Source organism: Homo sapiens, chromosome 16, assembly GCF_000001405.40.
Source record: "Homo sapiens chromosome 16, GRCh38.p14 Primary Assembly".
Classification (NCBI taxonomy): Eukaryota; Metazoa; Chordata; class Mammalia; order Primates; family Hominidae; genus Homo; species Homo sapiens.
This window is the reverse complement of record NC_000016.10, coordinates 47,827,969-47,852,379: the sequence shown is the minus strand read 5'-3', so window position 1 is coordinate 47,852,379 and position 24,411 is coordinate 47,827,969. Positions and strand designations below refer to the sequence as shown.

Genomic DNA, 24,411 nt, shown 5'->3' with positions numbered 1-24,411 from the left:
GCCTGGAGAACATTGACAATCCTATGTACGTTACTTGTTTGCTATGTTTTTCTTCTTGTCTTCCCCTTCTAGGTTCATGGAGGTGAGGATGTTTTGACTGTTCCGTTAACTGATCCAAGTGCCTAGAACTATAATCACAGCAGAAGCCCAATTTTTGTCATTTGCTGAGATGGGGAAGCCTGGAAAATGAGCGGGGTTTGCAGGCTGGGGCAGAATTAGGGAGGAATTGATAAGCTTGAGCTATTTCCAGTCACAGAATCATCGGTTCATCTTCCTATGTCAACCTCACCTACCACCCAGCATTGATCATAGCCCTGCCCTCGCCACCCCCCACCACAGGCATGCCTCAGCCCTCAGTGAACCCCTTAGCAGCAGCACGTGCAGCACCATTAAAACACACCCCAGGTGCCGTTCTAAACACAGCTTGTCTTAACCGGTTGGCACTCCTGTGATTTTTAGAGATGAGGAAACTGGGCAGGGCATGGTGGTTCACAACTATAATCCTAGCATTTGGGGAGGTCCAGGAAGGAGGATCACTTCAGGCCAGGAGTTTGAGACCAGCCTGGGCAACACAGCAAGACCCTACCTCTCCAAAAAAAAGTGTTTAATGAAAAAAATGTATTTTCAGAGGTGAGGAAACTGAGCACAAGAAGAATAAATAAGTTTTGAGCAGCCAAGCTGGAATTTCAGTATAGATCGTCCAACCCCAGAGCCTAAACCTCTCAGAGCATTTCATGGCCATCAACTTAGATGCCAAGAAAGGAAGATGGGGTGAGGAGATGCGGCAACACCAAGGCAAACTTGATGTGAGGTGTAGCAAGAGGAGATAGTTTTCTTTCTGTTAGGAGGAGGCTGTCTGCAGCAAACACTGCTCTGTGTCTCGTGGGAAACCCCACAGGCTGCCCAAAGCCCTCACAGATGCCCGGTCCCATTCAGGCCTGACTCGTCCCATTGAGTCAGAAGGGTCTGGTGCCTCTGACACGATGCATCAACTGGGGCATTCATGAAAATGAAAAAGGAGCCAAGCCCGGCCCTTTTCCCCTATCAAAGGAGAGCAGCAGAGATCTGAAAAACGGGGTGATTAACTCCACCAGACACTCGAGTTGCCATGGATACTACCGACCAGCATGACATCTCTTCTGCCCCTTGGTTCTGAGGCTGCCTGTGCTCTTCAGCCCTGGCAGACAGAGTTTTTCTCCTCACTTCCCCAAAACTGGTTCTAAAAGCACAAAAGGCATTTGAGGACTCAGAGCAGGGGAGAGCTCACTCCATCCCATGTCATCTTTTTCAAAACTACATTTTTCCGTCTCTGTTGCACGTCATGTTAGCTGTATTCATGCTAATGGGAGATTGTGTGTGTGAGAACAGCTGTTCTAGAAAGTATGTATCTACTCTACGACTTAAGATTAAATGCCTTGGAGGTCTGGAGAGAACTAAGAGGCAAATTAAAGAGTTTTGTGGGTTTTTTTTTGGCAGGGGGCGGGGGTGCAGGGGAACAGGGTCTCACTCTGTCGCCCCGGCTGGAGTGCAGTGGCGTGATCATAGCTCCCTGCAGCCTCCAACTCCTGAGCTCAAGTGATTTTCCCACAGGCACAAGCAACTGTGCTGAGGTCCATGAACCCTTGTGTCTGTGAATATGTCTATTATAATGATTGTCACTGGTGATCTTGACAGCTATATTAAAATTACTGTTATCGGTAAAATGAAACCTAAACTTTGCCACTAAAGTGAAGTGCCCATATAAGTCCAATCCAAGGACAGTGACTGATCTTTGTGTCCAGACTCAAGCTCTTACAAAAAACTGCCAGTCACTAACATTCTCAATAAACACTCATCAGATAATCATATTTGAGAGCTGTTTTTAACTTTTCAAATACTCATCTCATTTGAGCTTTACAACTAATGAAATCAACAGTAAGTAACAACTGTCTAACCCAGGCCAAAATCAGTAATATGAATTATAATCATTTTTAAATGCTACAATGGGAACATATTTGAAATGCACAATCCAAGGTAGATTAATGGAAGAACAGAGGGATGACAGGTGGAGATGTATGTGAACAAGAAAATACAGCAGAATGTCAATAGTAGAATGCCTAGGTTGGACAAATTTCAAAGGTTCTTTCATTCCCCCAAATTCTATGTTTTTATATTGATTTTCTAAGTATTTTTCAGATACTCTAAAATGAAGATAAGTTAACATTGGTCAGCTAAGATCAATTTAAGGTTAATCTCTGCAGCAACTCAGAACTGATCCGAAATTTATCAGTCAGGGGCTAGTGTATGCTGTGGTAGCAAACATCACTAAAATCTTGGGGCTTAAAACTACAGAGGTTTATCTCTTGCTTACACGATATAGGAACCACAGATGAGCTGGGGGCTTTGTGCCTGCATCGCCATTGACACTGTCCTCTTTGTTGTTCTCTTCCAGGGCCCAGTGAACAGAGCCCCTGGACATTGCCGGAAGGAAAGGAGAAAGCCCAGCAAAGCACACAACGTATCAGGCTTTTCATGTGTCATTGGGTGAAAGGGAGTCACATGGGCCAAGGAGGGGAAGCAGGTGTCATCAGAGCAGTTCCACAGCCCTCTAGGCACAGTAACAGGCATGCTTTCTGTCCTTCTCTCCTTTTAGATTGTAAGCTACCCAAAGTCCATCTCCATGGGTTTTTTTCCTTATGTGCAAACTACCATATGACAGGTGTGCCTGACAATAACTCAGGTATAGCTGAGAATGATCCTGTAGTCCAAGAATGTTGGTTCTGAGCTCTGAACTAAGGAATCTGGGAGCTGCCAACCCAGAGGTTTACTCCTTATCTATGGAGCATAGGTGAACCCCTGGCCCATTTCTTGGAACAGCATGTGCGGGGAACCAAGGCCCTTTGTTTTGAGCTAGGTGGAGGTGGCCAGGTAGAGGTCGCCAGGAAGAGGTGGCCAGGTGGAGGTTGCTAAGCAAAGATTGCTATATTAACTGGGTGCTTTTTAGAAACCATAGTGGTTACCCCATTCATCCAGCCACTCCTGGACTCCCTGTACGTTTAAGTTGCCCAATAAAACTTATGTCTTGCTCGCTGTCTCTGGGTCTTTTCTTCAGCCTCTCAGACACGGTGCCCTCCCTGGGCTTGGACTCAGTGGGGGTACTACTCCACTACTACAATGCCCAAAAAATGCCCACCTCTCTTTCTGACACTCAGTAAACATCTGCCATTGGCAATGATTGAGCTTCTAACATCTTTACCCTATGAGGAAAAGCAGCTCTTTTCTATGTATGATACCCTTACTTTGCTGGCTCAAGGATGGTGTTCAGGGTGGGTCTTAGAACCTGTGGCACAAAAGCCTGTTGTTGTTTTCTTTGCCTGGTAGAGATTTGAGGCTCAGCAGTAGGAGGGTCTCTCTTTCTGGAGGCTCTCAACCTGATGCTTTGTTATTGTGTCTCTGCAGCAGGGAGCAGGGAAATGGGGAATCACTTAAGGACCCTGGGGCTCCGGTGGAATTTCTGCAAGAGAGAGGAGATAATAAAGACTCAATGGGGTGGGACAATTGGGAGGGAGGTAGCTATTAGCAGTCTGAATAAAAGGGAAAAGGGGGCTTTAAAGCAACCCTAAGGCTTGTTTTTGAGAAAAAGATCTCATCTCCTCATTCCTGTGGCTCCCTAACCCCCTGTGTGCCTCCCCTCCACAGATGTCTTTGAGTCTCTGTCTTGCAGTGATGTACGAGGCCAAGCTCCCTCCCCATAGGCCATCGAGCCAGATGATTCATGCTGAACAATCTAGTACATTCTAACACAGCCTTCTGTGAAAGGCAGCTTGGCTCCAAAGCTGCAAAATACAAAGCCTTTCACAGCAACAGCCAAACAGGTAAATAAATGAATCAATACTCAAGCACTCAGCACATTCACGCATATTTACTATGGGAACACGCTGGACCAGGCCCAATACCTGGGCTCCTAACTGTGCTAGTCAATATCACTTGTCAATTAAAACCTAAAGGAGTTTTATCACTCCCCCTGACACCCCAGACTCCTGGCTCATAAAATGGATTTCAAGTCAGTGTAAATAGCTTGCTTTGCCCAGCAGCTGTGTTCCTGAAAAGTTTCTTGTAAATCAAATCATCTTTTAAAATGCATGAAACTTTCTGCTTAAAAGGAACCCTGTGATTAATCCTTTTGTAAGGCAAAACATCTTCCTGTAATATAAAAAATACTACTACCACCTCCCCCCATCTGGCTCTTCCTCCCCTTGCCACCTCCTGGTTACCACCTGCCCACCTCCACTCCATTCCATAGGTCAGCTTTAGGTGCAAATACCATTTTTAAAGAGGATTCACATTTTTGTGACTTGGAAGCAAACCAAGACCCATCTTTTTAACATGTATCTTACAAATATCCTGGTTGAAAAGCCTGCAGAATATACATCACTTGTTTGCAGATACCACAATACACAATCACCAGAAATGCTGATGAGCTTGGCTATGAAAGGAATGAGCTGATGCTCTCTAAGAGGATGGCTTATCATCCCTTACTCAAAACAAAATCGAAGGCAGCATCTTGGAAGGCAGGTGGAGACACGATTAAGGACGCCTTTACTTCCCCTCCCCAGCTCACGCCACTGCTTCCTGCTAGTGAAGATTGAAAAGAAGAATGAATCATGGAAAATACCATTCTCCAAATGTCATTGGGAACATCAGTCTATACTTCTGCCTAAAAATGAGACTAAAGACTAGCCCCATGTTTCTCCTTCTTCCAACATTTCAGATTTTTGCCATGCCTGTGAGCCACCTGTAGCATTACTTACTCGGTTTTAGTTAAATTGACTTCTTCTTACTTAGCCTCATGAGAACTGAGGGCCAAGGAAGAGCTTTCCCCTTGACCCTCTGAAGTTCTGCTGAAAAATCAACTCACAAAAGGCAGACAAATGTGTGTAATATGTATACACAGGAACCTTGAGAATGATGATGTAATTCCCTGGTTAGGTTCCAAAGCTTGCATAGCATCTCGAGGTTATAGAAATAATGCATGCTCAGAGCATGGCCCAAAACAGGTTAGGTTGGTAGATCAAGTTTAGTGCCAAGGCAGGTTATGAGAAGGGGAGAGGAAGGGGCCTGGCTACCAAAGGGGGTCTCATTATGTAGAGTAAGCCTCTTGGGTGGCAGCCCTAAAGAGAACATATGGTAAATGTCCCTTTTCTGACATTTAAAGGGTCAGACTCTCAATCTCCCATAGATCCAGGAAAGGCCTAGAAACGGAAGGCCTGGCTGCATCCATGGAGATTCTCTACAGATGCAAATTTCCCCCACAAAAGACAGCTTTGCAAGCCACTTCTGTCTGTTGGCTCTGTGGCAGCCATTTCAAAATATGTCAAATAAATAGATTTTGGAGTAAAATATCTTTATTTCCTTCAAGAAGCAATGAGATCCATGAAATTGCAGGTTTCAGATGTAGTTATATCTTTTCTAGAACACGTTAATGTGAGCTTATAACTGAAACCACCTTTGGAAAAATTATAACAGTGAGAAAATTATGACAATGAATGAGATCTGATCTAACTCACTTCCATCTTGCCTTTAACCTCCAAACTGCCCTAATTATTCCTGGGCCTAGTCCAAGTTAACTCTGGGAGACATTTAGTTTATACTTCAAATGGTAATATCCCTTCCCCGAAACTCTACCACTTTTGTAAGGCTAATGAAAGACCACCAGGTCAGGAGGATGACATGAGCCTGAATTCTGCTAACATGTAAAGGATTACCAGTCATTATGCTGGGGTTCACAAGATTTGCAACTTTCCCAATTATTCCTGCAGATAAATCACTCTTGTAGAACATAAGATTAGCCTCTTAAGATGTCTTTTCAGGTTTTTTCATTTCTGATGACAGATGGCTCCACCTGGACCTACCAAGGGGTCCGGTGGTCCCACTCAGAAGCAGACTGAGCATGCAGGAGGATCACTTTCCACACCCCTATGATGGCATCCTCAACCAATCAACAGCACCCATTCTCTGGCCTGCCAAACTATCCTTGAAAAACCCTAGTCTCCACATGTTCAGGGAGACTGATTTGAGTAATAAAATTCCAGTCTCCCATTCAGCTGGCTCTTCTTGAATTAAACTCTTACTCTAATGCAATTCCCCCATCTTGATAAGTCAGCTCTGCCTGACCAGCAGGCAAAATTAACACATTGGGCGGTTACATAACTATGTAAAAATGGGTTCATCCAGGTGCTACCTAAAGTCATCCTGTGGGCCACTATTGATACACGTACCACACTTTGCCACCACACTTTGAATGGACAAGGTAACCAAATATGATTGAGCCATGCTAGTCTTAATTCCCTTACCATTGTTTGCCTACCTGCGCCTGCATTCACTCAACAAACATTGGTATCTACCATGTATGGTCATTGTACAAGGCATGAATGAGGAGAGAGGAGAGACTCTGTGCCTTTGAGAGCTTACGGTTTGGTGGAGGAGGCTGAAAGAGAGAGAGTTGTGATCTAGCATGTTGTACAAAGAACTGGAGGAACACAGAAGAGACATGAGCTCTACTTCAGGAATAGGAACTTCAAAGACAGCACTTTGGCTGGGCTTAGAAGGGTGAACAAGATTTGCTCTGATGAGGGGAGCGAAGAGAAGACATTCCAGGAGAGAAAATAGCAGTGTACAAAGGCTCAGAGGTATGTGACAGGAAGATGCAGGCAGAAGGGGTGGGTGCTCTGGCTGGCAGGAGAGGGAACAACAGTTTTTAAAAATCACATGATGGGAGTCTTTGGTGTAGACTTGGTGATAATGTCCTCAAGGTTAATCCATATTTTTGCAGGTAACAGACTTCCTTCCTCTTAAGGCTGAATGATATTCTATTACAAGTTGTTATAGATTGAATTGTGCCCTTACCCAAGTGTAGAAGCCTTAGTTAACCCCCAATATAACTATATTTGGAAATAGGGCCTTTAAAGAGGTAATTAGGGTTACATGAAGTCGTAAGTGTAGAGCCCTAACCTAATAGGACTACTGTCTCTATAGGAAGAGGAAGAGACACCAGGGAGGCACTTACACAGAGAAGGGATGAATGGAAGGACATGGCAGGAAGGCAGTCCCCTGCCAGCCACGGAGAAAGGCCTCAGATAACCCAACCCTGCCACACCTTGATCTTGGACTTGTAGCATCCGCAGCTGTAAGAGAATAAATTTCTGTTGTTTAAGCCACCCAGTTTGTGATATTTGGTTATGGTGGCACTAACAAATTAATAAATATGTATATATGTGTGTATCCATTCATCTGTCAATGGACATTGGGATTGCTTCCACCTTTGGGCTATTGGGAATCATGCTGCTATGAACATGGGTGTGCAAAGATCTCTTCAAGACCTTGCTTTCAATTCTTGTGGATATATATCCAGAAGTGGAATTGCTGAATCATATGGTAATTCTATTTTTAATTTTCTTGAGGAAGTTTCATACTGTTTTCCATAGCAGCTGTGCCATTTTACATTCCCAGCAGCAGTGCACAAGGGTTCCTATTTCTCCATATCCTCACTAACACTTGTTTTCTGTGGTTTCTTTTTTTTTTTTTTTTAATAGCAGCCATTCTAATCGGTGGGAGGTGGTATCACATGGTAGTTTTTCTTTGCGGTTCCCTAATGATCAGTAATTCAGTGATATTGGGCATCGTTTCATGTGCTTATTGGCCATCTGTAAATCTTTGGAGATTCAATGTATATTCAAGTCCTTTGAACATTGCTGAATTATGTTGTTTCCTTTTTTGGTGTTGAGTTTTAGGAGTTTACTATATATTATGGATATTAATCCATTATCAGTGTCTTCTTATATTAATAAGAAAAATAAAATGAAACAGTGGTAAAGTGTTGGGGCAGCAAAAATTTGGGGGGATGGTATGGAGAGATAACGGGCGATGTTTCTCAGAGCTGCTTTGAGTGGGATTAGGGGTGGGATGGGAACCTAGAGTGGGAGAGATTAAGCTGAAGGAAGATTTTGTGGTAAGGGGTGATATTGTGGGGTTGTTGGAAGGAGCATTTGTCATATAGAATTATTGGTGATGGCCTGGATATGGTTTTGTATGAATTGAAAAACTAAACGGAATAAGAGAAGGAGAAAAACAGGTATTAAAGGACTAAGAATTGGGAGGACCTAGGACATCCAATTAGAGAGTGCCTAAGGAAGTTCAGCATAGCCCTGCCAGCAAAGATTATTTATTTAAGAGTTGAGAGTGGTGGTTTGGGGATAGCACCAGGAGATATCAGCTGTGATGGCTTGGAGAAACAGTGTAAACTGGCAGTGTAAACAAGGGCAGGGCATTTATGAGTAGTTGAGAATGGTGAATAGGAGTATGACTAGACAGAAGATAGTAGAGATGACAAGTTTTTTGGGGCACAGTCCAAATTGACCTGGTGTCTGGAATGAGACTGGGCCCTAAGAAAAAGGAGGGTCTACACAGGAGCTCAAATGGGCTGTACCCTGTAGCATTCCAAGGACAGGCCCAAATTCTCAGAAGGGAAAGTGTTAAGAGTATTGTCCAGTCCTTTTTAAGTTGGTGGCTGAGCTTGGTGAGGTGTGTTTTTAAAAGACCATTAGTTCACTGAGTACCAAGAGCCTGAGAAACTGCTTGGGTGAGTTGACTAATAAAGGCTGGTCCGTTATCAGACTGTATAGAGGTAGGAAGGCCAAACCGAGGAATTATATCTGACAGATGGGAAGAAATGACTGCAGTGGCCTTCTCAGACCCTGTGGGAAAGGCCTCTACCCATCCAGTGAAAGTGTCTACCCAGACCAAGAGGTATTTTAGTTTCCTGACTCGAGGCATGTGAGTAAAGTCAATTTGCCAGTCCTGAGCAGGGGCAAATCCCTGAGTTTGATGTGTAGGGAAGGGTGGGGGGGGTGCCTGAACAATCCCTGAGGAGTAGTAGAATAGCAGATGGAACACTGAGAAGTGATTTCCTTAAGGATAGATTTCCACGATGGAAAGGAAATGAGAGCTTCTAAGAGGTGGGCTAGCAGCTTGTAACCTACATGGAAGAGGTTATGAAATGATGACAGGATAGAATGGGCCTGTGAGGCTGGAAGGAGATATTTTCCATGGTCTAAGAACTATTTGCCTTGTGTGGGAAGAGATTGATAGGTGGAAGTTTTAGTCGGGGAGTAGGTGGGAGTGGCCAGATGAGAAGGAGGAAAACTGCCGTGAGTGATAGAAGTTGGAATGCTAGCTGCTTTTTTAGCTAACTTATCAGCATAAGCATTGTCCTGAGCCATGGAATCTGATGCCTTTTGATGGCCTTTGCAACAAATGACTCCAGCTTCCTTTGGAAGTAAAGCAGTTTTGAGAAGCATTTTTATTAAAGAGGCATTAATGATGGAGGACCCTTGCATAGACAGGAAACCTCTTTCAGCCCATATAAGAGCATGGTGGTGCAGGACATGGAAGACATATTTAGAGTCAGTATAAATATTGATGTGTAGTCCCTTTGCAAGAGTGAGGGCCTGAGTTAAGGCAATAGTTCAGCTTGCTGAGAGGTAGTGGAGGGGGCAGAGTGGTAGCCTCAATGATAGGTGTGGAAGATACTATAGCATAGCCTGCCTTTGCTGGTGAGTGGCGATTAGGCCTAGTGGAACTGCCATCAATAAACCAAGTGTGTTCAGGGTGAGGAACAGGAAAGAAGGAAATATGGGGAAATGGAGTGAATGTCAGGTGGATCAGAAAGATACAGTCGTGGGGGTCAGGTGTGGTATCAGGAATAATGTGGGAGGCTGGATTGAAGTCCGGAACAATGGTAATTGTGGGAGACTTAACAAAGAGTGAGTATAGCTGAAGGAGCCGGGGAGCAGAAAGTATATGCATCAGGTGGGAGGAAGAAAATAGATTTTGGAAGTTATGAGAAATGTACAGAGTGAGTTGAGCATAGTTTGTGATTTTGAGGGTCTCTAAAAGTATTAAAACAGTGGCAGCCACTGCACGCAGACATGAGGGCTAGGCTAAAAGAGTAAGGTCAAGTTGTTTGGACAGAAAGGCTATAGGGCGTGGTCCTGGTCCTTGTGTAAGAATTGCAACCACACAGCCCTGCACTTCGGCTGTGTGTAATGAAAAAGGTTGGGATGAGTTAGGGAGATCTAGTGTGGGAGCAGCTTTTAGGGCTGTTTTTAAGGAACAGAAAGGGGAGTGGGGAAAGGATTTAGGCTCTGTGGGGTCAGCTAGGATTTAGGCTCTGTGGGGTCAGCTAGGTTTGCTTTTGTGAGTTTATATAATGGTTTAGTCAGGATGGTAAAACTAGGTATCCTAGGTACCTAGGTACCTAGGCAGAAGTACCTAACCATGCCTAGGGAGGAAAGGAGTTGTTTTGTAGAAGGGATTTGGGTTTGGGAGATTAGCTGGACATGATCAGCAGGAGAGCACTTGTGTTTTCATGAGAATTATGCCGAGATAGGTAACAGATGAGGAAGAAATCTGGGCTTGACTGAAGTAATGGGGGCTGTCTGTGAAGCCTTGAGGCAGTACAGCCCAGGTAATTTGCTGAGCCTGATGGGTGTCAGGGTCAGTCCAAGTGAAAGTGAAGAAAGGCTGGGATAAAGGGTGCAAAGGAATAGTAAAGAAAGCATGTTTGAGATCCAGAACAGAATAATGGGTTGTGGAGGGAGGTATTGAGGATAGGAGAGTATATGGGTTTGACACTACAGGGTAGATAGGCAAAACAATTTGGTTGATAAGGCACAGATCCTGAACTAAGCTGTAAGGCTTGTCTGGTTTTTGAACAGGTAAAATGGGGGAATTGTAAGGAGAGTTTATAGGCTTTAAAAGGCCATACTGTAACAGGTGATGGATAACAGGCTTTAATCCTTTTAAAGCATGCTGTGGGATGGAATATTGGCATTGAGTGGGGTAAGGGTGATTTGGTTTTAATGGGATGGTAAGGGGTGTATGATCAGTCACCAAGGAGAGAGTAGAGTTGTACTATACTTGTGGATTAAGGTGGGGAGATACAAGGGAAGGATGTGAAGGAGGCTTTGAACTGGGGAAAAGGGCGGCAATGAGGTGTGGCTGTAGCCTTGGAATAGTCAGGGAAGCAGCTAATTTAGTTAAAATGCCTAGACCTAATAAGGGAACTGGACAGGTTGGGATAACTGAAAAGGAGTGCATAAAAGAATATTGTCCAAGTTGGCACTAGAGTTGGGGAGTTTTAAGGGGTTTAGAAGCCTGGCCATCAATACCCACAACAGTTATGGAAGCAAGGGAAACAGGCCCTTGAAAAGAAGGTAATGTGGAGTGGGTAGCCTCCATATTGATTAAGAAGGGGAAGGACTTACCCTCCACTGTAAGAGTTACCTAAAGCTCGGTGTCTTTAATGGTCCTGTAGGCTTCCGAGGCGATCAGGCAGTGTCAGTCTTCAGCAGCTAAGCTGAGAAGATCTGGAAAGGAGTCAGTCGGAGAGCCTTGGGCCAGAGTTCCAAGGGCTCTAGGAGTGGCTGCTGGGTGAGTTGGACAGTCTAATTTCCAGTGGGGTCCCACACAGATGGGACACAGCTTAGGAGGAATCCCGGGCTGTGGGCATTCCTTGGCCCAGTGGCCATATTTCTGGCACTTGTGGCAAGCTCCTGGAGGAACACCTGGCCACTGTTGTTCAGGTGTTTCGAAGTTCTTGTGTGCTGGAGATGTGGCTGGGGTTTGTATCACAGTGGAGGCAAGGAATTGCAACTCAGAAATACATTGCTACTTGGCTACCTTTTGTCTATTACTATACACCATGAAGGCAAGGTTACTTAAGTCCTGTTGTGGGGTTTGAGGGCTGGAATTTAATTTTTGGAGTTTTATTTAATGTCAGGAGCAGATTGGGTAATAAAACATATATTGAGAATAAGACGGCCTTTTGATCTTTTAGGGTCTAGGGCTGTAAAGCATCTCAGGGTTGCTGCCCAATGAGCCAGGAACTGGGCTGGGATTTTATATTTGATGAAAAAGAGCCTAAACACTAACTGATTTGGGAGAGGTCAGATAAAGAAAAAGGAGTGTTAACCTTGACTATGCCTTTAGCTCCAGTCACCTTTTTAAGAGGAAATTGCTGGGCAGGTGGGGGAGGGTTAGTCGTGGAATTAAACTGTGACCCAGACTGGGTGTGAGGAGAAGGGGTGATAAAAGAATTATAGGGTGGGGGAGCAGAGGCTGAGGAAAAATTGGGACCTAGCTCGGCCTGGTGATAAGCAGCCTGGGGAGGAGGGGAGAGGTCGGATGGTTCCATAGAAAAGGAAGATTCAAAAGAGGAAAGACTCAGCGATGCTTGGGCTTGGGACTGAGGGGACAGACAGGAGAGAAAGAAGGAAGATTTGGGATGAGTTGCATGGGAACAGAGACTAGGGAGGGACTGATGTGTAAAAGAATGCCTGGACATCAGGCACCTCAGACAATTTGCCCATTTTAAGACAAGAATTATTTAGATCTTGTAGGATGGAAAAATCCAAAGTGCCATTTTCTGGCTATTTGGAACCACTGTCAAGTTTGTATTGGGGTCAAGCAGTGTTGCAGAAAAAAATAAGATGCTTAGATTTTAGGTCACACAAGAGTTGAAGAGGTTTTAAGTTCTTGAGAACACAAGCTAAGGGAGAAGAAGGAGGAATGGAGGGTGGAAGGTTGCCCATAGTGAAGAAGGCAAGCCCAGAGAAAAGAGAGAGTAGAGACATGGAGAGAAGGGGTCGGGGGGTGCTTGCCCCCAGAAAAGTGGAGAAGGGGTAGAGACACGGAGAGAAGGGGTCATGGGGTGCTTGCCCCCCAGAAAAGTGCTACTTGCTGCTAAGGGTGAAGGACCAAGGCAGGTGTCCTCGCATGGTCAGACACCTCTGAAACGTGGGTGAATAATCAGGCAGGCATTAAACACCAAAGGAAACTGTCTTTCTGAGTCCGTGACCAGCACCAGAGTTTTGGGTCCGCGGATAAAATGTATCTCCTTTGTCTCTACCAGAAAAGGAAAGGAACTGAAATTAAGAAAAAGGAAAGATTGAAGTATGGCACCAAGATTGAAAAGAGAAAGAGGTTGAGGGATAGTGAGAGAGGTTGGAGAAGAGAGTAAAGAGAGGCCGCTTACCAGATTTAAAATTGGTGAGATGTTCCTTGGGCTGGTTGTTCTGAGGACCCGAGGTCGTAGGTGGATCTTTCTCATGGAGTAAAGAGCAGGAGGACAGGGGGTTGATCTCCCAAGGGAGGTCCCCCGATCTGAGTCACGGCCCAAATTTCACTTCATTTCACTCACGTCCATGTGAAGAGACCACCAAACAGGCTTTATGTGAGCAACAAGGCTGTTTATTTCACCTGGGTGCAGGCGGGCTGAGTCTGAAAAGAGAGTCAGTGAAGGGAGTTGGGGTGGGGTCGTTTTATAAGATTTGGGTAGGTAAAGGAAAATTACAGTCAAAGGGGGTTGTTCTCTGCCTGGCAGGGATGGGGGTCACAAGGTGTTCAGTAGGGGAGCTTTTGAGCTAGGATGAGCCAGGAGAAGGAATTTCACAAGATAATGTCATCAGTTAAGGCAGGGACGGGCTATTTTCACTTCTTTTGTCATGGGATGTCATCAGTTAAGGCAGGAACTGGCCATCTGGATGTGTAGGTGCAGGTCACAGGGGATATGATGGCTTAGCTTGGGCTCCGAGGCCTGACAATCAGATATATGATTTGCAAACATTTTCTCCCATTCTATTGGTTGATTTTTTACTCTGTTTATATTGTATTTTGATGCACAATTTTTTTTATTATACTTTAAGTTTTAGGGTACATATGCACAATGTGCAGGTTAGTTACATATGTATACATGTGCCATGCTGGTGTGCTGCACCCATTAATTCATCATTTAGCATTAGATATATCTCCTAATGCTATCCTTCCCCCCTCTCCCCACCCCACAACAGTACCCAGAGTGTGATGTTCCCCTTCCTGTGTCCATGTGTTCTCATTGTTCAATTCCCACCTATGAGTGAGAATATGCGGTGTTTGGTTTTTTCTCCTTGCGATAGTTTACTGAGAATAATGATTTTCAATTTCATCCATGTCCCTACAAAGGACATGAACTCATCATTTTTTATGGCTGCATAGTATTCCATGGTGTATATGTGCCACATTTTCTTAATCCAGTCTATCATTGGTGGACATTTGGGTTGGTTCCAAGTCTTTGCTACTGTGAATAGTGCCACAATAAACATACGTGTGCATGTGTCTTTATAGCAGCACGATTTATAGTCCTTTGGGTATATACCCAGTAATGGGATGGCTGGGTCAAATGGTATTTCTAGTTCTAGATCCCTGAGGAATCACCACACTGACTTCTTATAGATAAATGGAACAGAACAGAACCCTCAGAAATAACGCTGCATATCTACAACTATCTGATCTTTGACAAACCTGAGAAAAACAAGCAATGGGGAAAGGATTCCCTATTTAGTAAATGGTGCTGGGAAAACTGGCTAGCCGTATGGAGAAAGCTGAAACTGGATCCCTTCCTTACACCTTATACAAAAATCAATTCAAGATGGATTAAAGACTTAAACGTTAGACCTAACACCATAAAAACCCTAGAAGAAAATTTAGGCATTACCATTCAGGACATAGGCATGGGCAAGGACTTCATGTCTAAAACACCAAAAGCAATGGCAACAAAAGCCAAAATTGACCAATGGGATCTAATTAAACTAAAGAGCTTCTGCACAGCAAAAGAAACTACCATCAGAGTGAACAGGTAACCTACAAAATGGGAGAAAATTTTCACAACCTACTCATCTGACAAAGGGCTAATATCCAGAATCTACAATGAACTCAAACAAATTGACAAGAAAAAAACAAACAACCCCATCAAAAAGTGGGCGAAGGACATGAACAGACACTTCTGAAAAGAAGACATTTATGCAGACAAAAAACACATGAAAAAATGCACACCAGCACTGGCCATCAGAGAAATGCAAATCAAAACCACAATGAGATACCATCTCACACCAGTTAGAATGGCAATCATTAAAAAGTCAGGAAACAACAGGTGCTGGAGAGGACGTGGAGAAATAGGAACACTTTTACACTGTTGGTGGGACTGTAAACTAGTTCAACCATTGTTGATGCACAATTTTTAAAAACTTTCATGAAGCCTAATTTGTCTATTTTTTTCTTTCATTACCTGTGTCTTTGAGGTCATTTCCAAGAAATCATGACCAGATCAAATGTAAAGATTTTGCCCTATGTTTTCTCCTAAGAGTCTTATAGTTGTAGGTCTTACATTTAGATCTTTCATCCATTTTGAGTTAATGTTTGTGTATGGTGTTAGGTAAAGGTCCAACTTGATCCTTTTGTGTGTAGATAACCAGTTTTCTCAGCACAATTTGTTGAAAAGACTATTCCCCATTGAATGGTCTCAGCACCCTGATCATCATCTGGCCAGTTTATTTCTGGGCTTTCTGTTTTATTATATTGGCTTATATGTCTGTCATTATGCCAGTACCACACTGTTTTGATTATTATTGTTTTTTTGAAACAGAGTCTCACTTTGTCACCTAGGCTGGAGTGAGGTGGTACAATCATGGCTCACTGCATCCTCTACCTCCCTGGGCTCAGGTGATACTCCTACCTCAGCCTCCTGAGTAGCAGGGACACAGGCACACACCACCATGCCCAGCTAATTCTTGTATTTTTTTCTTTTTTCTTTCTTTTTTTTTTTTTGTAGAGACAGGGTTTTGCCATGTTGCTCAGGCTAATCTGGAACTCTTGAGCTCAAGTGATCTTCACACCTCAGCCTCCCTGCTGGGATTATAGGTATGAGGCACCACACCTGGCCAATTACTATAATTTTTTAGTAAGTTTGGAAGCTAGGAAATATGAATCCTCTAGCTGTATTTTTTTTCTTAGGATTGTTATGGCTGTCCAGAATCCCTTGAAGTTTCATGAAAATTTTGGAATATACTTTTCTATTTCTGAAAAAAAAGTCATTGAGATTTTGATAGGGATTTCATTCAATCTGTAGATTATCTGAAGTAGAGTAACATCTTAAAAATATTGTTGTCCAATCCTTGAACATATGATATATTTCCCTTTATGTCTTCTTCCATTTCTTTCAACCTTGTTTTATAGTTTATAATGTGCAAATCTTTCACCTCCCTGGTTAATTCCCAATTGTTTTTATGCTATTGTAAATAGAATTATTCTTGTAATTTCCTTTTCATATTGTTCATTGTTCACACATAGAAATGCAACGATTTTTGTGTATTGACTTTGTATCCTACTACTTTACTGAATTTGTTTATTAGTTCTAACAGGTTTTTTGTGGAATCTTTAAAGTTTTCTACATATAAGATATCATCTGTCAACAGAGATAATTTTACTTCTTCTTTTCCAGTTTGGATGACTTTTGTTTCTTTTTCTTGCCCATTGCTCTGGATAGAACTTCCAGAACTACATTGAACAGAAGTGGCAAAAGTGGGTATCCTGGCCTTGTTCCTGAACATAGAGGAAAAGCTTTCACTCTTTTACCATTGAGTATCATGTTCACTGTGAATTTTTCATAAATGGCTTTTATTATGTTGAGGTAGTTTTCTTCTAATCTTAGTTTATTTCATGTATTTTATAGCTATTTTATGCTTTTGTTTTTAAAATTCTATACAATAATTTACCTTCTCTGCAAGAATTTAAGGTAGATTTATGCACCAAAATTACAATGATACAGTTTTCTATATTTGTCCATATATTTACCTCTACTAGATAACTTTATATTTTCACATGTCTTCACCTTGCTGTCTAGTGTCCTTTCATTTCACCTTAGAAGACTCATTAGCATTTCTTGTAGGGCAGGTTTAGTGGTAATACACTTCCTCAGCTTTTGTTTATTGGGGGAAACCTTAATTTCTCCTTCATTTTTGAAGGACAGTTTTGCCATATCAATTATTCTTAGTCAACAAGTTATTTCTCCCAGCAGTTTGAATCCCACTGCCTTCTGGTCTGTAAGGTTTCTGCTGAGAAATAACTTGATAATCCTATAGAGGCTCCCTTGTACATTGTAAGCCACTTTTCTCTTGCTACTGCTTTCAAGATTCTCTCTTTGTGATTCACCTGTGGCAATTTGATTAGAATGTGTCTCAGTGTGGGTCTCTCTCAACTTATCCTAGTTGGAATTTGTTGAGCTTCCTGAATTTGTTCTTTTTTTTTTCTTTTTTGAGGTAGGGTCTCACTCTGTTACCTAGGTGGAGTGCAGGGGAGAAATCATAGCTCACTGCAGCTTCAACTCCCTGGGCTCAAGTGATCTTCCCAACTCAGCCTCCTAAGTAGCTGGGACCACAGGCATACACCACTATGCCTGGCTAATTTTTGTGTTTTTTTGTAGAGATGGAGTCTCACAATCCTCCCCAGGCTGGTCTTGAACTCCTGGGCTCAAGCAATCCACCAACCTCAGCCTGCCAAAGTGCTGGGATAACAAGGAATTGCATATCCATTTATTTCCTCAAATTTGGGAAGTTTTCAGCCATCTTTTTTTCAAATAAGTTTCTCCCCTTTTTCTCTCTTCTCCTTCTGGAACTCTCATAATGCCTGTATTGGTCCACTTGGTGGCATCCCTTAACTCCCTTAGGTTCTCTTCACTTTTCTCCATTCTTTTGTGGTTTTTGTGATTTTTTTTTTTTTTTGGTCTTATGACTAGAATATGTCGAATGACCTGTCCTCAAGTTCACTGATTCTTTCTTCTGCTTGACTAAGTCTGCTATTGAGCTCTTCTATTGAACTTTTCAACTCAGTTATTGTATTTTTCCACTTCAGAATTTCTCTTTAGTTCTTCTTCATAGTTTCTACCTCTTTGTTGATATTCCTAGTCTATCATACATCCTTTTCCTGATTTCTTCTCGTTGTCTATGTTCTCTTTTATATGGCTGAACACCTCTAAAACCACTGACAGTTATTTTAAATGCTTTGTCAGATAATTCAGATATCTGAATGTCTTTAGTGTTTGTTTCCAAAGATTTATTTCATTCCTTTGATTGAGTCATGTTTCCCTGTTTCTTTGTAAGTCTTGTGATCTTTTGTTGATATTTGGGGATTTGAATAAACACCTACCTCTCCCAGTCTTTATAGGCTGGCTTTGTGCAGAAAAAGACGTTCGCCAATGAGTCTGGCTAGAGGCTCTGAGATCTCTCAAACATTTTCTGGTCATATGTCTTCTTTGTACTTGTGAGTGTGTTTTTTATTCCAGTATATATGGCTGCTTTTAGCTGTCTTATTTTCCCTTACAAGCTTGCCCCTGCTTCTTCTCAGGAGCTTTTGGTTTCCATTTCTATTATATTCCTGTGACCATAATTTCTTGCTTCCCTAATGCCTGTCAGTGGAACTGCAGACTCCCTGCTGCTAACATGCTGCAGTGTTTGCCTCTATTTTCACTGTGGCCTCCAACCTGTTATCTAATCTATCCTTGGTATCTAAACTGCTGCCATTAGCACTCCAAGTTAGGAGAAACAGAACCAGTCCCTCAAGGGGCCCCCAATAAGCCAGAATGTTGAATTCAAGTTCCACTCTTTTCTTCCTGTCCCAAGGGAGGAGCCAGTAATTGGGAGGTTTCCTCCCAGTGGTGCTACACTGCACCGAGTGGGAAGAGAAGCTAGAGTGAGCAAAATGCCTTCAACTTTCCTTCACTTTTCAGCTTTTTTTTTTTTCTTGGTTGTGCATTTCCCTGGGTCCTGTAGCTTCCCAAATGGTTTCCAGAATACTCAGAAATGTATTTTCATCCAATATTGCTATTATTTCAGGATCTCTGTAAGGGAATAAGGATGTTGAGCTTCTTAGTCCACCATCTTGCTGATCTCACCCCTATCAGTTGATTTTTGACAGAGGTAAAAAGGTAATTCAATGAATAAATCATAGGTCTTTGATTGAATTATAGGCCAAATTGTAAAACCTAAAATTATGAAACTTTTACAAGAAATTCTAGAAGAAAATTTTTGTGACCTTGGTTATACAAAGATTTTTTTACATGTGATACCAAAAGCATGATCCATAAAAATTGTTTCGATACACTGGGCTTTATCAAATTTAAAACTTCTGCTCTTTAAATAATTCTATTAAAAGGAAAAGACATCTAAGATGGTAAATTTTATGTTGTATGTATTTTAACTCTAAAGAAAAATTGGGGAAACAAAAAAAGTCAAGACATGGACTGGGAGAGTATAGATTAGACTGGAGTAATGTATCAATTTTAATTTCCTGAATTTATTGTTGTATTGTGGTTACTGTGGTTACTAAATTATTTGAAGGTAATGGAGCATAATATTAGCAACTTACTCTTAAATGGTTCAAGAGGAAATAAGTCTTTGTATTGTTTTTACAGCTTTGCGTAAGTTTCAGGTTGTTTCAAAAATGAAGGCTACTCTAACAATTTTAATACTTATTCAGGTAAGTCTCAATGAAATTACAAATGTGAAATTATCAGAGCCCTTATCAGAGTAAACACAAGATGATGAGCATGAAATTGGCAAGACTTGGAGACTGTTTGGATGAGGGAGCAGTGACAGCAGGTGGCGTCTAAGATGACACTAAATTTTGAGGCCTGGAAGATTGAGAAGATGTTGGTGTCTTATTAGAAAAAGAAGGGAAATAGAAATGCATAAGTCAGGAAGAAGATTAGGGTTGAGGAAGAAAAAGAATGAGTTTGTTATTGTGGAAACATTGAGTTGATAGAGTAGTTCACAGTATGTTCAGATTCCAGGTCCCCATGAGCATTTGGATAATAAGAGATGCTAGATGCAGTGTGTGTTTGTGTGTATATGTGTGTTTGTGTATGTGTGTACATGTATGCATGTATATGTGTGTCTTTGGTCGGGGGAGCCAAGCAATGTTTGGCTTGGCTTGCTCTGGGTCCACCCCAGTAACTGTCTGAATGTGCCACATCCCTACCATGAATTAGCCCTCTTACCAGTACCGTGGTTGTCCACACCAGTGAGGGGAATGGGCCTAAATATATAATTGATTATTCTTGGAAGATTGCCAAAAACAGAAGCCAGAAACCTCCCAAGCTGTTTCCAGAGCATAATGTATTTTCAGCGCACACAAATCTCCATTGCCAAATGGTCTGTCAATGGCCTGGATTGTTAAAGAGACTGAATGCATTTTGGTTGCACAGATGTGTCCTCTGATTATCTTATTATTTAATGCCCTCTATAAAAGTATCTTATGGCCTAAATACCTTATCTTGGCATTTGAGGTGCTCTCCAAACATAATTTTGTAGACCCCTTTCCTCTTGTCTCCCAACTAAGTCCTCACTCCAGCCAGCTCGGTCTCCTTTTCATTGTCAAAGCTTGTCTTGCTGTCTACCACTTTTGAGACCTTACTCACCCTGTTCTGCCACTTGGAATCCCCACTGTGTGCTGGCAGAGCATCATGCTAGGCACTGTGGAGGCACTGAGCTGATTAAGACACAACTTCCATGCTCAAGGAACTTGCATTCACAATAGAAATAGAAGGTGCTTACATGAGGGAAATGAAAATCTTTATGAAGTTAGACGCGAGAGAGGAATGGGTGTGTGCACCTCTAGATTGGATAGATGCTTGCTTTTCCAATTATGACTTGCAGCGAAGCCAACCTGTCCCCAAATCATCCATTTACAAATGGCTTCTCCCACTTCCTGGAATGTACCCATCATGTTTTGCCATGCTCATTGTCTCTCATTCTTCAGGCCTAAATAAAAAATCTTTTCCTCAGAGTGGCCTTTCCTGATGCATTCCTACCACAGTCTACAATATGGTGAGAAAGTCTAAACTCATACTTCCTTTTTTTGTTCTTATCAGGTAAAACACCAGGTGCACTATAAAGAAATGGGGGCAAAAACCAAAGAGTTTCAGAATCTCAGACCTGGAAATGACCTTAGCCAGCCCAGCCTCTTGTGCAGCAGATGAGGAAACTGAGGTTCAGACAGGGAAAGTAGCTCACCAAACACCACACAGTTCATATGCTTTGGGTTGCAAGAATTAAAATCTCAATCCAAACAGGCTTACACCAAAAGGAATCTGTTAGTTCATATAATTGAACAGTCTAGAGGTATATCTAGCTTTAGATCAGACTTGATCTGGGACCCCAATACTAAGATTTGGATTAAGTCAGTCTCTCTCTCCCGCCAACCTCTTCTCTTCTCCTCACTTCCTCCTCTTTCTTCTTCCTCTCTCTCTCTCTCTGTCTGTCTGTCTCTCTTTCTCCCTCTGTCTCTCTTTCTCTCCCTCTGGATCTCCCACTGTAGAACCAAAATGGGCATTAAGGCATCTTACATGCTTCCTTGCTAGGACTCCATTTTCCTCAGCAACTCAATTGAAGCTCCAGAAGTTAGCTTCATTGGCCTGATTCACCTGCCCTGGGACATAGTACATCTCTGAACCCAACACTGTAGCCATTGGAATGGGATGTGCAGATTGGCTTAAGCAAAACAGGACTCTGCCTTAGAACAGGAGGTAGGATCAGTTCACCAAAATCTAATGGCTGAGAAATGTTGGATGCCATTGTGAAAGGGAGAAGAGAATCAGTGCTAAGGATACAATCCACAGAAGTCCACCCGAGAAAGTTACTGGCAAAGTCAGGGCTGAAGGTCAGGTCTCTAGGCTCTAGGTCAATGGTTTCATCACATTCTTGGAAAAGTTCAGTGACAGCTAAGGCTCTGTCATAGCAAGATGTAGCCAATAGAGCTTTGCATTCAAACAATTCTGTGATGACTCCAAAGTGGTAATGCTAAATTCATCTTTCCTCAGGCAGGGAGAGAGAAATAACTCCAGGATCTGTGTCCAGATAGAGACGGTACAAGAAGAAGAGGGATGATTCCTGGAACAAGCTGTAGATCCAAATCAGGAATTAGAAGTGGAGAACCTGAATAATAATTGTCCTCCATGTGTTGTCAATGGAATAGAATCAGCATAATTGATTTAATCTATACAAAGTGAGACAGGCCTTCTGGAAAACTGCCCATGAACAGATCAGCAAGACCCATAATTGGCATATTAGATGAAAATAAAGTGAAGACTAAAGATGGAATCCTTCCAACCTACAGTACTCAGAGCAAGGCAAACAGAGTCTGGCTGGTTGGAGTACAGCAGGAAGAAGGCTGGCCGCTGTTAGTGATTCTGAGGCAGCCACAGTTTAGAGCTGCCTTTTTCAGGAATTCTTATCTGTGTGTTGTGTATAAAATGAAGCTCACACACAATACACTCTATTCCCAATAATGTATCATTTAAGATGTGCTTGTTTCTTAGTTTAACCACATAAAAATATATCATCTGCTAATCCTCTTAGAGTCCTCCTAGTCCTGTAACGATAACCACCCCTTGGCACATAATACTGTCACCAAATAAGCAGGAATGACTCATGAGTATTTTGATGATTTCACCTCCATCCTTCTTCAGTGTTCTCCTGGAGAGAAGGGCTAGAGAGACACAGGACAGTTCTATCCCACAAGGATCCCATTGTGGCACATATTTAATAAGAAAGAAAATTCACATTTCTTGGCAACTTGCTCCATAATCTAGTCCTGGCCTATCTTCCAAATTCAACCTCTCATGTGCCCTCTACAGTTTCCATCACAACAAACATCTAGCAAAGAGTTTTCCCATATAACCCCCATGCTTGTTTGATGTGTTACCTTACACAAGTAGCATCCTTTGCTTTACCACACATCTATGGGCTAGACTCAGATGGTGGCCTCCAGTTTTGACTGCCAGATTAAAATACCGCCTTCTTGGTTAACCCTTCTTTTATTCTCAACAAGAAAAAAATGACTGCTCTCTCCTTTAGACACCACATCATTTTGCTTATTTCCCCCTTAGACCATTCATTGCATGCCTTGTATTGCCAAGATTTGTGCATTCATCTTATCTTTCACATGGATCTCTGGATTTCCAAGGCAGATGCCACAGGTGATTTATGTCTTCAGTCCTAGCTTAGCTGGATTTATCAAAGAAAATGCATAGGGCAGGAACTGTGTGTATTTTGACAATGGTGGCATCTTGAGCAAGTGTGGTCAGATATCTTATGGAGGTTTTGAGGGCAAGGAAATGGGGAGAGCCCCTGGGTTCATTCTCTGATGAGACTCCCTGAAACCTTCCTTTCATTGCCTCAGTCCTAAGTCTTTCACTGTGGAGCTACTTGTCATCCTCAGCCCAGAGAAACCTTCACTCATTGAGTTACCATGACCCTGGGCAGTTACTAACCCATGAAGCAATTTCAGACCAATATTCTTGATGGTACCAATTATCTGTAAAACCATTTGTGAGGTGACATCCAGCTAGTAACATGCCCTGGGGTGGGATGTTTCCAGGAAAGTTGTCTAGATTACAAAAATAGACTCTTAGGCCACCAGTCACAGAATTAGATTCTGGTACCAACGACCATTTTATTTTTATTTTGGATTTTTTTTCCCACTGTGCTGCCACTACCATCTTATGCTGGGACTCCAGCTACCCAAACTGCCCTACCCCTGTGCAAGGTGACAGTGAATCTTCCACTAAGAATACGGGTTCTGGAGTTAAGATACAAGGTTTGGAACCGGCTCCTTTCATTGAGAGATCTTGAGCAAGTCATTTGACCTCTCTGAGTCTCCATCAATTTATCTGCAAAGCAATGAAAGCAATCGTGTCTATCAATAGGATTGTTTTGAAAATTAAGTTACCATGCAAAGAAAGCTCCTGGCATATAATAGCACTAAAAATGCTAGCTAATATTTTATTGACTTCAATATCATTATTAGCAGAATTTCTAGTGACAAAATTCCCAGGTTAACATCTAAAGGGAGCCATAAAACAGACTCTTGACCACCCTCTTTCCTGGAGCTAAAACTCTCAAGATATCAAGACCCCTCTTCTACCTGCAGAAATAGCTGTTTTCATGCATCTTTGATAGAATGTACCTCATCCTTTTCTCAATCTGCAAGAATAAGAGCTAGAACCACCAGCTGGAAAATATGAGGATACTGGTGTCAACTCAATGTAACAGAACTTTCTCACAGACAGGGCTGTCCAATCATGGAATAGGCTGCCCTGGAGGTAGTGAATACCCAAGCATAGGAGATATCTAGGTAAAAACTGGACAAAGCCTTGTTGGAAATATTGTGAAATAACCCAGATATCATATCCAGGGATTGAACTAGAAGAACTTGAGGACTTGACCAACCATAGAATTCAATACTATAGTTATCTTTTCTTTTTTTATTCCTAGCCTTTCCTTACAGAAAAATAATTTGATAACATCAAAAATTAGCCAAAACAGCTACTACAGCTGGAAGTCTGCTTTGTGGAGCATGGCATTTGCAAAGCAAAGATCCTGAAACTATGTTTTTTGAATAGTGGAAAAGAATTTCTAGTACACATGCTACCAACCCCTACAAAACTCATACTTGAGAAGTCAAAGAAAGCTCTACTTGGTAAGCTATTATTTTAAAAAGGCATTC

At 42.3% G+C, this 24,411-nt stretch overlaps 1 long non-coding RNA gene across 1 annotated transcript in view, besides 1 other annotated feature; it reads left to right on the top strand.

Moving 5' to 3' along the window:
- The window catches only part of LINC02192 (long intergenic non-protein coding RNA 2192), a 37,817-nt gene extending 34,751 nt beyond the window's left edge, over positions 1 to 3,066 (top strand). The window contains exon 2 of the long non-coding RNA NR_110649.1: positions 2,432 to 3,066. This is a non-coding gene — a long non-coding RNA (long intergenic non-protein coding RNA 2192). The remainder of the gene's footprint in view (positions 1 to 2,431) is intronic.
- Positions 3,185 to 3,877: an enhancer, noted in NCBI's record as "NANOG hESC enhancer chr16:47882414-47883106 (GRCh37/hg19 assembly coordinates)". NCBI's record gives its function as "activates a minimal SCP1, AML or CMV promoter by ChIP-STARR-seq in primed H9 embryonic stem cells {active_cell/tissue: H9 hESC(primed)}" and the evidence as "EXISTENCE:reporter gene assay evidence [ECO:0000049][PMID:30033119]".